We start from the raw sequence: 13,199 nt of genomic DNA, 5'->3' as shown, positions 1-13,199 counted from the left end.
TTTTTGAGATGGAGTCTTGCTTTGTCACCCAGGCTGGAGTGCAGTGGGGCAACTTCTACCTCCTGGGTTCAAGTGATTCTCCTGCCTCAGCCTCTCCAGTAGCTGGGGACTACACGCCCATGCCACCACGCCCAGCTAAATTTTTTTTTTTTTTTTAAGAGTTTCGCTCTTGTTGCCCAGGCTGGAGTGCAATGGCGCGATCTCGGCTCACTGCAACCTCCACCTCCCAGGTTCAAGTGATTCTCCTGCTTCAGTATCCCAAGTAGCTGGGATTACAGGCATGTGCCACCATACCCGGCTAATTTTTTTGTACTTTTGGTAGAGACAGGGTTTCACCATGTTGGCTAGGCTGCTCTCAAACTCCTGACCTCGTGATCCGCCCACCTCGGCCTCCCAAAGTGTTGGGATTACAGGCGTTAACCACTGTGCCTGGCCTAAGTTTTGTATTTTTAGTAGAGACAGGGTTTCACCATGTTGGCCTGGCTGGTCTTGAACTCATGTCTTCAGGTGATCTGCCCGCCTTGGCCTCCCAAAGTGCTGGGGTTACAGGTGTGAGCCACGGCCCTCAGCCAGGAACAGTTTTTAAAATCAAGGAATTACCTCTCCACATGTCAAAGGTTGAACATTCCTCTTGTGATCTGTATACCATCCTCTCTGCTTCTGGAACTTTAAAGTTGTAGTTTTCACTTTTTTTGTTGTTTTGTTTTGAGACAGCGTCTCACTGTGATGCTCAGGCTGGAGTGCAGTGGCGCAATCTTGGCTCATTGCAACCTTCGCCTCCCGGGTTCAAGTCATTCTCCTGCCCCAGCCTCTTGAGTAGCTACAGGTGCGTGCCACTATGCCTGGCTGATTTTTGTATTTTTAGTAGAGGTGGGGTTTTACCATATTAGCCAGGCTGGTCTTGAACCCCTGACCTTAAGTGATCTGCCTGCCTCGGCCTCCCAAAGTGCTGGGATCACAGGTATGAGCCACAACGCCCAGCCTAGTTTCTATGCAATTACTGCTGACTTCTAAATTTATATATCCAGCTAAGACTAATATTTAGAATTTGAGTGATACAGCCAATGAGACAGGAAAATCTGATTGTATCAGTTCCCTGGTTCAAGCTTCTCGTTGGCTTCCCATTCTTCTTAAGGTCCCAAAATGTACTAACAAATTTATGATCTACTTTCTTCCTATCATTCAAATTCTAATATTGGCCTTATTACAGATTAGTTCATATAAAAAGAAGTTACATAAACTAGTATATGTAGGCCAAAGAAATCTCTATAGATATATACCAAAAATGTGTGCACGTGTACGGATAGGTGAGGTTACACTAATAATTTTTATTTATATGCCTATTATTTGATTTTTAGTAAGCACGTAAAATTACTAGTATAATAATAAAAAATAGTTACCCAAATGGAAACCAAAAGTGAAATGTGGCCAGGCACAATGGCTCGTGCCTGTAATCCCAGCACTTTAGGGGCGGGTGGTTCGCTTGAGCTCAGGAGTTCGAGACCACCCTGGGCAGCCTGGGTAGAGACCGTCTCTACTAAAAACCCCAAAAAGTTGCCAGGTGTGGTGGTGCAGGCCTGTGGTTCCAGCTATTTGGGAGGCTGAGGTGGGAGGATCGCTTGAGACTGGTGTGGTAGAGGGGCTCGGAGGTTGCAGTGAGCCGAGATCACGCCACTGCACTTCAGCCTGGGTGACAAAGCAAGACCCTGTTTCAAAAAAAAAGTGAAGTGTAATCCTGAAAAGTTTATAACATAATTTATATAGAAAACTAGGTATTAAACAATAGAAGAGGCTGGCCTGGGCGCGGTGGCTCATGCCTGTAATCCCAGAACTTTAGGAGGCTGAGGTGGGCAGATCACCTAAGGTCAGGAATTCGACACCAGCCTGGCCAACATGGTGAAACCCCGTCTCTACTAAAAATACAAAAATTAGCTGGGCGTGGTGGCAGATGCCTGTAATCCCACTCACTAGGGAGGCTGAGGCAGGAGGAATTGCTTCAACCCAGGAGGCGGAGGTTGCAGTGAGCTGAGATCATGCCATTGTACTCCAGCCTGGATGACAACAGCAGTCTCAAAAAAAAAAAAAAAAAAAAAGAGGCACCATGTTTTTTCTTACACTATCTTATTAAAAGAATATATGATATTCATATATATGGTACCTATATCATATATATATGTATATATATACCTGGTTGCCTAGTGGTTAGAAAAGATTTATATATGGATGGGCGCAGTGGCTCACGCCTGTAATCCTAGAGGCTGAAGTGGATGGATCACAAGGTCAGGAGTTCAAGACCAGCCTGGCCAAGATGGTAAAGCCCCATCTCTACTAAAAATACAAAAATTAGCCAGGTGTGGTGGCAGGCAGCTGTAATCCCAGCTACTTGGGAGGCTGAGGCAGAGGATGCCGTGAGAAGAGATCGCACCACTGCACTCTAGCCTGGGCAACAGAGTGAGACTAAAAAAAGAAAAAAAAAAAAGAAAAAAGTGTATATGTATATATATATATGTGTGTGTGTGTATATACATATATATGTATATACACATGTATATATAGCCAATACAGATCCCATTTGATAACAAATATTTAAAGGTGATCCAGTTTGCACTGGGTCCAATTCTAAGGAAATGGACAGTTATTAATATTTATAGCTCAATAGCTAGTTTCTCAAATCTTAAGAAATTTAAAACTAGTCAAAATACACAATTTCACTGAGTTTTAGACGGGAGAGTAGGGATAAATATGTTCATTCAACTGTAAGTGGGCCCAGTCAAACTTCAGGTAGAAGTGGCAGTCATACAGAAACCTTAACTCAGAACATATGGATAAAGGGAAACATTTTTGCTTGTTCTTTTTATTTAAAGCACAAAGAATAGTACATAAAGTAAAACGTCCATCACCTAGACTTGACAATTATCGACATTTTGTCACATTTGCCTTGTTTCTTTCTTTTTTTTTGGCTGGAGCTCTTTAATAGAAATCATAGAAATACAATTTCACCCCTAAATATTTTACTCTGGATAAGAGCATTTCCTCAATCACAATGCTGTCACACCTAGCAGAATTAACAGCTCCCTGTTTTCACCTAACACCCTGCCATACTCACATTTCCCTCGCTGAGTCAGAAATATCTTTTTTTGGGCTGGGCATAGTGGTTCATGCCTATATTCCTAGCACTCTGTTTGGGAGGCCAAGGCAGGAGGGTCACTTGAGGCCAGGAGTTCAAAATGAGCTTGGTCAACGTAGTGAGACCCAGTCTCTACTAAAAAATAAAATAAAATAATAAATAAATAAAAATTGCCTGGATGGGTCGGGCGTGGTGGCTCATGCTGTAATCCCAGTGCTTTGGGAGGTGGAGGAGGGAGTATCACTTGAGCCTAGGAGTTTGAGCCCAAGCTGAGCAACAAAGTGAGACCCTGTCTCTACAAAAAAATTAAAAAATTTAAAGTTAACTGGGTAGCAGGCGCCTGTAATCCCAGCTACTTGGAAGGCTGAGGCAGGAGAATCGCTTGAACCCGGGAGGCAGAGGTTGCAGTGAGCTGAGATCGCGTCATTGCACTCCAGCCTGGGTGACAGAAGCAAAACTCCGTCTCAAAAAAAAAAAAAAAAAAAAGTTAACCGGGCACGGTGGCATGTACATGCCTGAGGTCCCAGCTACTCAGGAGGCTGAGATGGTAGGATTGCTTGATCCTGGGAGGTTCAGGCTGCAGTGAACATGATCCTGTCACTGCACTCCAGCCTGAGTAACAGAGCGAGACCCTATCTCAAAAAAAAAAAATTGGCTAAGTGCGATGGCATGAGCCCACAATCGAAGCTATTTAGAGGCTGAGGTGAGAAGATCCCTTGAGCCCAGGAGTTCAAGGTTATGGTAAGCTATGATTGTGCCACTGCACTCTAGCCTGGGCAACAGGGTGAGACCTCATCTCTGAAAAAATTGAAAAATAAATAAAATAAAGTAGATAAGGGCTGGGTGCAGTGGTTTACATCAGTAATCCCATCATTTTGGGAGGCTGAGGCAGGTGGAACCACTTGAGCTCAGGCGTTCAAGAACAACCTGGGCAATATAGTGAGTCCCTGTCTCTATTTAAAAAAAAAAAAAAAAAAAAAAAAAATATATATATATATATATATATATATATATATATATATATACACACACACACACATATATATAAATTAACTTTGGCGCATACACACACATATATAACTTCACCTTCATAACTTTCATGCAAAATAAAGTATTATGTCCATTTTACGCCCGCGTTTAAGCCCACTACCAGACATTAGCAGAACCTGGATATAAACCCAGATCCTTCTGGTTATGTTAGTGTAGCATCCTAAGAGTTTATACATGGACCTGTGGACATCTCCTTTTTCATAGTCAGAGGGAAAAATAATACCTTATTACTTTCTGTGTAATAAAGCATTCCATTGACAAACCATTTAAGGGTCTGGTTTGTCAGTGATTGAAGGCACCCCCGGACATCTCTTTACCACTGGCTGAGTCATCTTAACTAGGATACTTTGTCTTGAAACTGTTTTCTTGATTTTAAACTCTTTTTTTTTAACAGCACACTGCCTACGTCTCAGAGTTGTTCTGAAAATACTGCAACTCCTGGGACATAGTTAGGGCTCAATATATGTTAGCTGTCTTTATAAGAAAACATTCTGAGTAAATATAGGTATACCATCCTGCCCAGTGATTCATCTTTTAGTCTCTGACATGGTATCTAACGGTAATGTCCATTAGTAACAAGATTTTCCAGTTCTCTCCAGTGTCATAAGTCACTGTATTCCAAAGTACTATGCACAATAGCAAAGAATACAGGAAGAAATAAAAGTTTTGGGAGCAGAAATCTAATGTAGTGAATGCCACCAGTAGGTGGCTTCTGGGGATAACAGAAAAAACTGTCAAAGCCCCACATGTTAAAGGCTAAAAATGCTTACCCTCTCCCTGTGATGCCCACTCCATCCCCTTAAATTGTGCCCTGTGGTTTAACTAAGGGTTACAACCTGCTCCCTGCTTAGTATGTGTCAGGAATAGCACAATCCAACCTTTATACAGAGGAGACAAAATTGGTAAGTTTGTTCTGCTTCATCCCTTGCAAGCTCCATCTGCAGTTTCTGAAAAACAGAAATAATCACCCTTATACTCAGCAATGTGCCAGGTCCATGCACATGATAGGTAACCCCCACGACATTCCTGGGAGGGAGCCATTCTTAGCACTGTTTTATAGATAGTTGTTAGAGCAACATAAAGTTTTCTTCTTGGAAACTGTAAAAGAAAAAAACTAAAGGGATTATATTCATACATATGTTAATACAATAGCCTCTGCATCTTCCATTAAAAAAAAACAAAAAAACAAAAAAAATGACGACAACAACTAGTAAAATAGTTCAGCCTAACAGGTGGGTTTTCATTCACAAACTGTCCCTGTACAGATTCTGAGAGGTTGTGAATCTGGTCCTACATAGAAATAAGGCCGAAGAGGCCCAGTAAAAGTGTCAGTGAAAGTACAGATGTGAGATTTCTCAGCCATGTTATAGAATGAGATCTCACCCATCTCATAGTCCAGGAAAATGCCAATGGCCCTGGCTTTCACCTCTAACAACAGAGGGGTTGGAAAAGCCCCTGGTGCATGATAGCCATCATCTTGCAGCTCAATTCTCCAACATTCCTGCTGGGCTGATGAGGGTCTCCTCGCCTTTGTGGGAAGAGAATCTTTGCAAATGCCAATAGCCCATTCTGACTTATCCCCCACTTCAATCTCCCAGAAATGCCTGCCAGAATGAAAATACGGAAAACCCAGAACAACTGGCTTGACTGTAAATCTTTTTGGGAAACCAGGAACCTTTTGTTTTCTCTTTGTAAATCTCACACGTTTTTTATCTTCAGATACAATCAGGTTAGGGTGTGCTGTTTCAGGGTCTAGAATTATTTCTACTTTAAATTTCTTTATAATTCTCTGCAGAGCAGAATATTGGGGAGGAAAACTGCAGCCATCTCTCTTTAAATGAATTGAAAAGATCGATGGGCTACTCTCATTTTCAGATTCGTAGAAAATTTTAATTTGTGACAGCAATTCCAGTTCAGACAGCTCACTGAGCTCTACTACCTTACTTAACTGGCTTTTGAGTGTGGCACTGTAGTTTGAAAATGCTGTTATGTTTGCACTGAGTTTCTGTTGATTGTCCTTCTCTTCTTCAGCTAATCTGGAGAGAACTGCCTGTTGCTCACGGTCTAAAAACTGGTTGAGGTGCTCAAATTCAGAGGATAATTCCTGCCTTTGGTTTTCCACCATCTCTCTCAGTTCTAAGGGTTTTTTGCTTTGAGTGCTTATTAATTTTTGGAGGTCTGCCAATTGCTTTTTCAGGGGCTGGATGTAACTGCAGAATCTTTTCCTATAATGAATGGCAGCTTTCTCTATGGGCCTCACATGGTGGCCCTGGTGGTCAGGGGGCTGAGTGCACAGCGGACACAACACCATCAGGTCCTCCTTGCAGAAAACGCTCAGGGGCTGGTTGTGTTTCTCGCACAAGGTGGTCTCTTCCTGCTTCCTTTTATTACTCTTGGTGCTCTGGAGTAGCTTGGCAATTTCAATCATCCTTCCCAGCTGGGTGTTGCTCCTGAAGTGCCCCTCTTGACACTGGTGACGACAGACAGGGCAAGGGAACAATTCCTGTAGATCCAGCCAGGACTGTTGGATGCAGGAACGACAGAAGTTGTGCCCACATTCGATGGTGACGGGGTCACTCAGGTAATCCAGACAGATGGAGCACTTAGCTTCTGCTTGGAGTCCGGTCAGAGCTGCTGCCACTGCCATTGGGCTGTCGGTGAAGGTCTCGACCAAGGTGGGCTTTCTTCAAGAGGTTGAGTTCTGTGGGTACTCTTCAGTGAGAAGCAGATATGCTCTTAGATCTCACTGTCCTTCCTGGAGGCAGCTGATGACCTCACTACAGTCCCACTGATTTCTCACATTGGTGGCAGCCCTTGAAGTCCTTTGAATCTTCGGACCCTTTAATTCCAACTGCCAAAAGGAGTCCCACACACAGCCTGCCGGCAGTCACAGCTCAGCCAGACAACTGCTCTTCCAGCCTTTGGCTGCTCAGAGAAAATGATGCCAAGCTAAGCAGCTGTTAGGAAAACAGCTGTTGCCTCAAATCATTGGTTGCTGTGGGTGAGAAGATATTTCTTTCTTAAGAACAAAACAAGATGAAACAAACCTGAATTTATTTCAGGTGGTCCTAACCTCCACCACATTCTAGCCAAACACAAATTATCCTCCCCTAGTCCCAGTCTTTTATTTCCATGCCTTTATTATTGTGCCCTAGCTATTCCACATAGTTGGAACCACAATCCCCACATCCCATCTACTTACCAGTCATCCTAACTGGGGTTGTGGGAACAGCTTAGGCCCTGAGGCATAGAGACCACCCAAATTAAAATACAGCCTTTGTTACCTATATCTGTAACTTGGAGAAATTTGCTTTACATCCCAAATTCTTGGAATCAGGTAAATAATGACAATCTCCCTTTAAACTTTTGTCTTGGTAAGTTATTTCTAGCCTGGGCAATGTAGACTGAGCCCATCTCTACAAAAAATAAAAATAAAAAAATAAAAAAATAAAAAAAAAATTAGTTGGGCATGATGGTGCGCACCTGTAGTCCCAGCCTACTTGGGAGGTTGAGGCAGGAGGAATCCTTGAGCCACAGAGGTCAAGGCTCCAGTGAGCTGTCACTGTGGCACTGCACTCCAGCCTGGGTGACAGAGTGAGACCTTGTCTCTAATTAGAAAAAAACAAAAAGTATTTCTGATGGCTCAAAATCACATCTACCAAATTTACCTTGCTCTTACATCCTTGCTTCTCTACAGTTGAATAGGCCACAGAAGACCTATCTATTTGTGAAATGAAACCCAACGAGATAACACATTGAATATAAACAAAATTTGCGAAAATATTTTCAGTATTTACTACTAAAATGTCATTATGTCTAAATGCAAAATACCTACAAGATAAGAAAATAAAAAGACAAAAACTGAACATATTCCCAATGTATGGGAACATGCTCTCCAAACGAGCATAGAAGCAACAGTTATGTAGACATTCCAACACTGTAGACTGTGAAGTAGAAACAAAGGCTGAGCTTGGTGGCTCAGCCTGTAATCCCAGCACTTTGGGAGGCCGAGGTGGGAGGATCAGTTGAGTTCAGGAGTTTGAGACCAGCCTGGCCAACATGGCAAAACCTTGTCGCTACTAAAAATACAAAAAAAATTAGCCTGGCATGGGGGCACATGCCTGTAATAGCTACTTGGGAGGCTAAGACATGAGAATCGCTTGAACCCAGGAGGCGGCGGTTGCAGTGAGCTGAGATCGCACCACTGCACTCCAGCCTGGGTGACTAGACTGCTATCTCAAAAGCACACAAACAAAAAACAAAAAACAAAAAAATACTTAAAAAGTTTTTCCTTTGACATTGTAATTTGACAATGCTAATCCTATAAAAATGCAGATGACTTGAACAAATATTCAAACATATATACAAATATTTTTGTTGTTGAGACAGGTTCTCTTTTGGTCACTCAGTGCATGATCATGGCTCACTGAAGTCTAATTTCTTGTTATTTTTTCTAGAGGTCTTGCCATGTCACTCAGTCTGATCTCAAACTCCTGAATTCAAGAAATCCTCCTGTCTCACCCTCCCAAAATGCGAGGATTACAGGTGTGAGCCACTGCACCAGGCTGAAAATGTGATTTTCAGTACTAGTTTGAACTTCAAAAAAGAGGAAGCATTGGAAAATGTCTAGTCAGTATTGGCAGAATAAACTATATTACATGTGTGTAACATACATTCTATACAAGGCAGTATCAAGCAGATTTTAAAGCAAAATAATAGCACCAAATATATTGATGCACACAGTATATCCTAGGATAAAAAAAAGCGGGCATCTTCCTACTCCTTCCACCTATTTTTCACTCTGTTCACAGCTATCATCTCTTTCCCTTGGACCAAGGGGCCATCACATTCAGAATTTTGTATTTTAGAAAATGGATTGGCCGGGCGCAGTGGCTCACGCCTATAATCCCAGCACTTTGGGAGGCCAAGGCGGGCAGATGACCTGAGGTCAGGAGTTTGAGACCAGCCTGCCCCAAATGGTGAAACCCCGTCTGTACTAAAAATACAAAAAAATTAGCCGGGCATGGTGGTGGGCACCTATAATCCCAGCTACTTGGGAGGCTGAGGCAAGAGAATGGCTTGAACCTGGGAGGCGGAGGTTGTGGTGAGTCGAGATCACACCATTGCACACCAGCCTGGGCAACAGAGCGAGACTCTGTCTCAAAAAAAAAAAAAAAAAAAAAAAAAAAAAAGAGACAGAGACAGAGAAAGAAAAAGAAAAAGGACATGGTACATAGATTGTCTATTATGTGAGCATGCCCAGAAAGGTTTCGGAAACACTCTATTATCAATCCCTGTGGTCCAAGGCCTCAGTAATAAAAACACACTTTTATCAGACAGCATAGTCCATGGCATCAGAAATTACTCCCAGGATCTAGTGAAGGGACAGTCCTGAAGACAGACCTTTCTTTGGAAAATGCAGGGATCCCTCAGCTCAAGTCTGCTGATTTCACCCTTACTGGAGGGTCTCAGGAATCACTTCTTTAAAAAAAAAAAATCATTTTTATTAACTTATTTATTTTTAATAGAGATGGGATCTTGCTGTATTGCCCAGGCTGATCTTGAACTCCTGGCCTCTCAAAGTGTTGGGATTACAGGTGTGAGCCACCTCGCCAAGCTGAAAATATATATATTTTAAAGAGATGGGGTCTCCCAGCCTGGCCAACATGGTGGAACCCTGTCTCTACTAAAAATACAAAAATTAACTGGGTGTTGATGGGTGTAGATAACTGATGCCTGTAGTCCCAGCTACTCCAGAGGCTGAGGTGGGAAAGTCGCTTGAACCCAGGAGGCAGAGGTTGCAGTGAGCTGAGATCGCACCACTTCATTCCAGCCTGAGCAATACAGTGAGACTCAAAAAAAAAAAAAAAAGGGAGAGAGAGACAGCGTCTCATGTGTTGCCCAGGCTTGTGTTGAACTCTTGGGCTCACGTGATCCACCTGCATCGGCCTCCCAAAGTGCTGAGATTACAGGCGTGAACCACCACGCCTAGCATACTTCTTGATCAAGCATAAATTTCTGGAGCAGAGTGCATTCTCTCGCCCTGAGGCATCTCTGGACAGCTGATCCAGAGTCCTGCAAAGCTCAGGTCCTGCCACTATTTTCTTTCCTTAGCTCCTTCTCTTTGTTCAGATTTCAGGCTTCCCCTCTGGCCTCATCTTCCAGCGTCAAGACTCAGTATCAAACGCCTCTCCTTTGTAAAATGTAGTTATCGCCGGGCACAGTGGCTCACACCTGTAATCCCAGCACTTTGGGAGGCCAAGGTGGGTGGATCACCTGAGGTCGGGAGCTGAGACCAGCCTAACCAACGTGGAGAAACCCTGTCTCTACTAAAAATACAAAACTAGCCCGGCATGGTGGTACATGCCTGTAATCCCAGCTACTCGGGAGGCTGAGGCAGGGGAATCACTTGAACCTGGGACATGGAGGTTGCGGTGAGCCAGGATCGTGCCACTGCACTCCAGCCTGGGCAACAAGAGTGAAACTCCATCGCAAAAAAAAAAAAAAAAAAGTAGTTATCTTACCAGGCACAGTGGCTCACGCGTGTAACATTAGTGCTTTGGGAGGCAGAACTGGGAGGATCGCTTGAGCCCAAGGAATTCAAGACCAGATCTGGGCAGAGTGAGACCCCATTTCTACAAAAAAAAATTTTTTTTTAATGGTTGAGTTTGATTCCTGGTGTTCCCTTATTAACTGTGTGGCCTTGGGGGAGCTACTTAACCCCTCCTGGCCTTAGTCTGTCCTTTGTAAGCAAGCAATAGTGGTTAAATAAAGGGAGATCAAGTCCATAAACAGCCTGATGGGGACCTCAGGGCCTCGGATCAGGGCTCTAACCCTCCACCCCACCCCCAACTCTATACACAAACCATCCCTCACTGCTACATCCTGGAAGGTAATTCCACACTCGCCATCAGACCAGCATTTCTGGGAATGTTCCCAGACAGATATCAGTCACCTCATTTTCTGACTCCTTAGGACAGGGTGGGCTCTCAGCTTAACTTTTTTTAGTAAGCATTTCGGTGACTTAGGACAAAACTAGTAAATAAATCAGGAACCATAATAAATAAATGGCGTGCGTTTTAAAATAACCTTATGCCGCAGGCGCGGTAGTTCATGCCTGCAATCCCAGCACTTTGGGAGGCCGAGGCAGGCGGAACACTTGAGATCAGGGGTTCGAGACCAACCTGGCCAACACGGTGAGACTAAAAATACAAAAATACTAAAAATGGGCCAGGCACGGTGGCTCACACCTATAATCCCAGCACTTTGGGAGGCCACGGCGGGTGGATCACGAGGTCAGAAGATCGAGACCATACTGGCCAACATGGTGAAACCCTGTTTCTACTGAAAATACAAAAAATTAGCTGGGCATGGTGGCACATGCCTGTAGTCCCAGCTACTGGGGAGGCTGAGGCAGGAGAATCACTTGAACCTGGGAGGCGGAGGTTGCAATGAGTCAAGATAGCCACTGCACTCCAGCCTGGGCAACAGAGCAAGACTCTGTCTCAAAAAAAAAAAAAAAAAAAAATACACAAATTATCCTGACTGGTGGAGAGTGCCTGTAATTCCAGCTACTTGGAAGGCACAGGCAGGAGAATTGCTTGACCCCAGGAGGCAGAGGTTGTAGTTAGCCAAGATCACCCCAGTGCACTCCAGCCTGGGTCACAGAGCGTGATTGCGTCTCAAAAAAATAAATGAAAATAAAAACATTAAATAACCTGATGCCGAATTCAGGTTCCCTTGTGAGGTGCAAGCTCCCTCTAGGCACAGAGCAGGTGCTCAAGAGGTCACGGGTTTCACTACACTCCAGCCTCCCGCACCCACGGAATGTCACTTCCCAGCTTACCTGGAGCAGGGGGAGCTCTGCGGCGGTCCTTTATCCGTGCAAAAGGCCACACACTAGATACTAACTAAACACACATGGAAAGTGCAGCTGTGAGGACTCCACCCAGCTAAGACCAGCTTCCACCTGGAAGTGGGAGGGGTAGGGGCAAGAGAGGGTGGGGGAGGCTTCCTCCCTGTAAGCACTTAAGTGTCCTTGGCCTTGATCTAAGAACTTTGGAGTCTTTTTTGTAATAACTGAATAGGGCAGGTTTGCATTTGCTCATGCAAATAACCAGAGCCCACCTTATTTAGATGAGTGAAAAGGAACAGAGAAGTTGAGAAAGACTAAAGGAGATTTCAACCCAGAGCCTGCAACTGGGCTACCTGCTGAAAGATATCCCTTACAAGCCTGAGCAACATGGTGAAACCCTGTCTCTGTGGAAAATACAAAAAATTAGCTGGGTGTGGCGGCAGGCACCTGTAATCCCAGTTATTTGGGAGGCTGAGGCAGGGAGAATTGCTTGAACCCAGGAGGCAGAGGTTGCAGTGAGCCGAGATGGCGCCACTGCACTCCAGCCTGGGCGACAGAGTGAGACTGTCTCAAAAGCAAAACAAAACAAAACAAAACAGGAATCTTGATTTCTCCTGAACTCTGAAGCCAGAAACCTGGCCGTCTCCCAGTCTTCTCCACCTCAATCAATGGAATCTTTGTTCACCTAATATTTGAAGCAGAAAATCAAGAAGACATCTCTGATTTCCCTCATTTCTTTTGCTCCCTACAAATCCACCATCAAGTCCTGGTGTCCTGCCCCACACTGTGTCCCTGAGCTCTGACACACCCTCCTTGGGGACACCTGGGAACCCTCACCTGGTTAGCTGACCCTGGCTGTCCTCCCTCATCCCCCGCCCCTCAGAATCCAGTGCTGTCACCTGGGATGCTAATCTGGGGGCTGTGTTTGGCTTCATGTGTGTCCTGTGAAAGCAGAAGACAGATTGACAACACTGGCCATACACAGATCCTCAAGAAGCCATGAGTCCTAAGGGGCAGGCAGAGAAAGAGTCATCTGTCCAAGAGACCAAAGAGACTGAGGGGCAGCTGTCCGGGGCCCACAGCAGGGTCCCGCTCCTAGGGGATCAGGACAACTGTAAAGGGACTGATAAAAATGCGTGGGAGCATTTCAGAGGAGTATCAGGGGCA

At 44.4% G+C, this 13,199-nt stretch overlaps 1 protein-coding gene across 1 annotated transcript; it reads right to left on the bottom strand.

Annotated features, from left to right (window-relative positions):
• Nucleotides 1-5,417: 5,417 nt before the first annotated feature.
• On the bottom strand, nt 5,418-12,106 carry TRIM75 (tripartite motif containing 75). Its single transcript, NM_001396070.1, has 2 exons — nt 12,024-12,106; nt 5,418-7,172 (listed from the first exon to the last, which is right to left on the bottom strand). Exon 2 carries the CDS (start codon nt 6,822-6,824, stop codon nt 5,418-5,420), a length of 1,407 nt encoding a protein of 468 aa, NP_001382999.1. The 5' UTR covers nt 6,825-7,172; nt 12,024-12,106.
• Between the last annotated feature and the right edge of the window lie 1,093 nt (nt 12,107-13,199).

Source organism: Homo sapiens, chromosome 4 (genome assembly GCF_000001405.40).
Source record: "Homo sapiens chromosome 4, GRCh38.p14 Primary Assembly".
NCBI classification, from domain to species: Eukaryota; Metazoa; Chordata; class Mammalia; order Primates; family Hominidae; genus Homo; species Homo sapiens.
The sequence above is the reverse complement of the archived record's forward strand: the minus strand, read 5'-3'. Positions and strand labels throughout refer to the sequence as shown.

What these genes read in the sequence shown, in the direction of transcription:
- TRIM75 (NM_001396070.1), bottom strand. Translation starts at nt 6,824, where the DNA reads ATGGCAGTGGCAGCAGCTCTGACCGGACTCCAAGCAGAAGCTAAGTGC.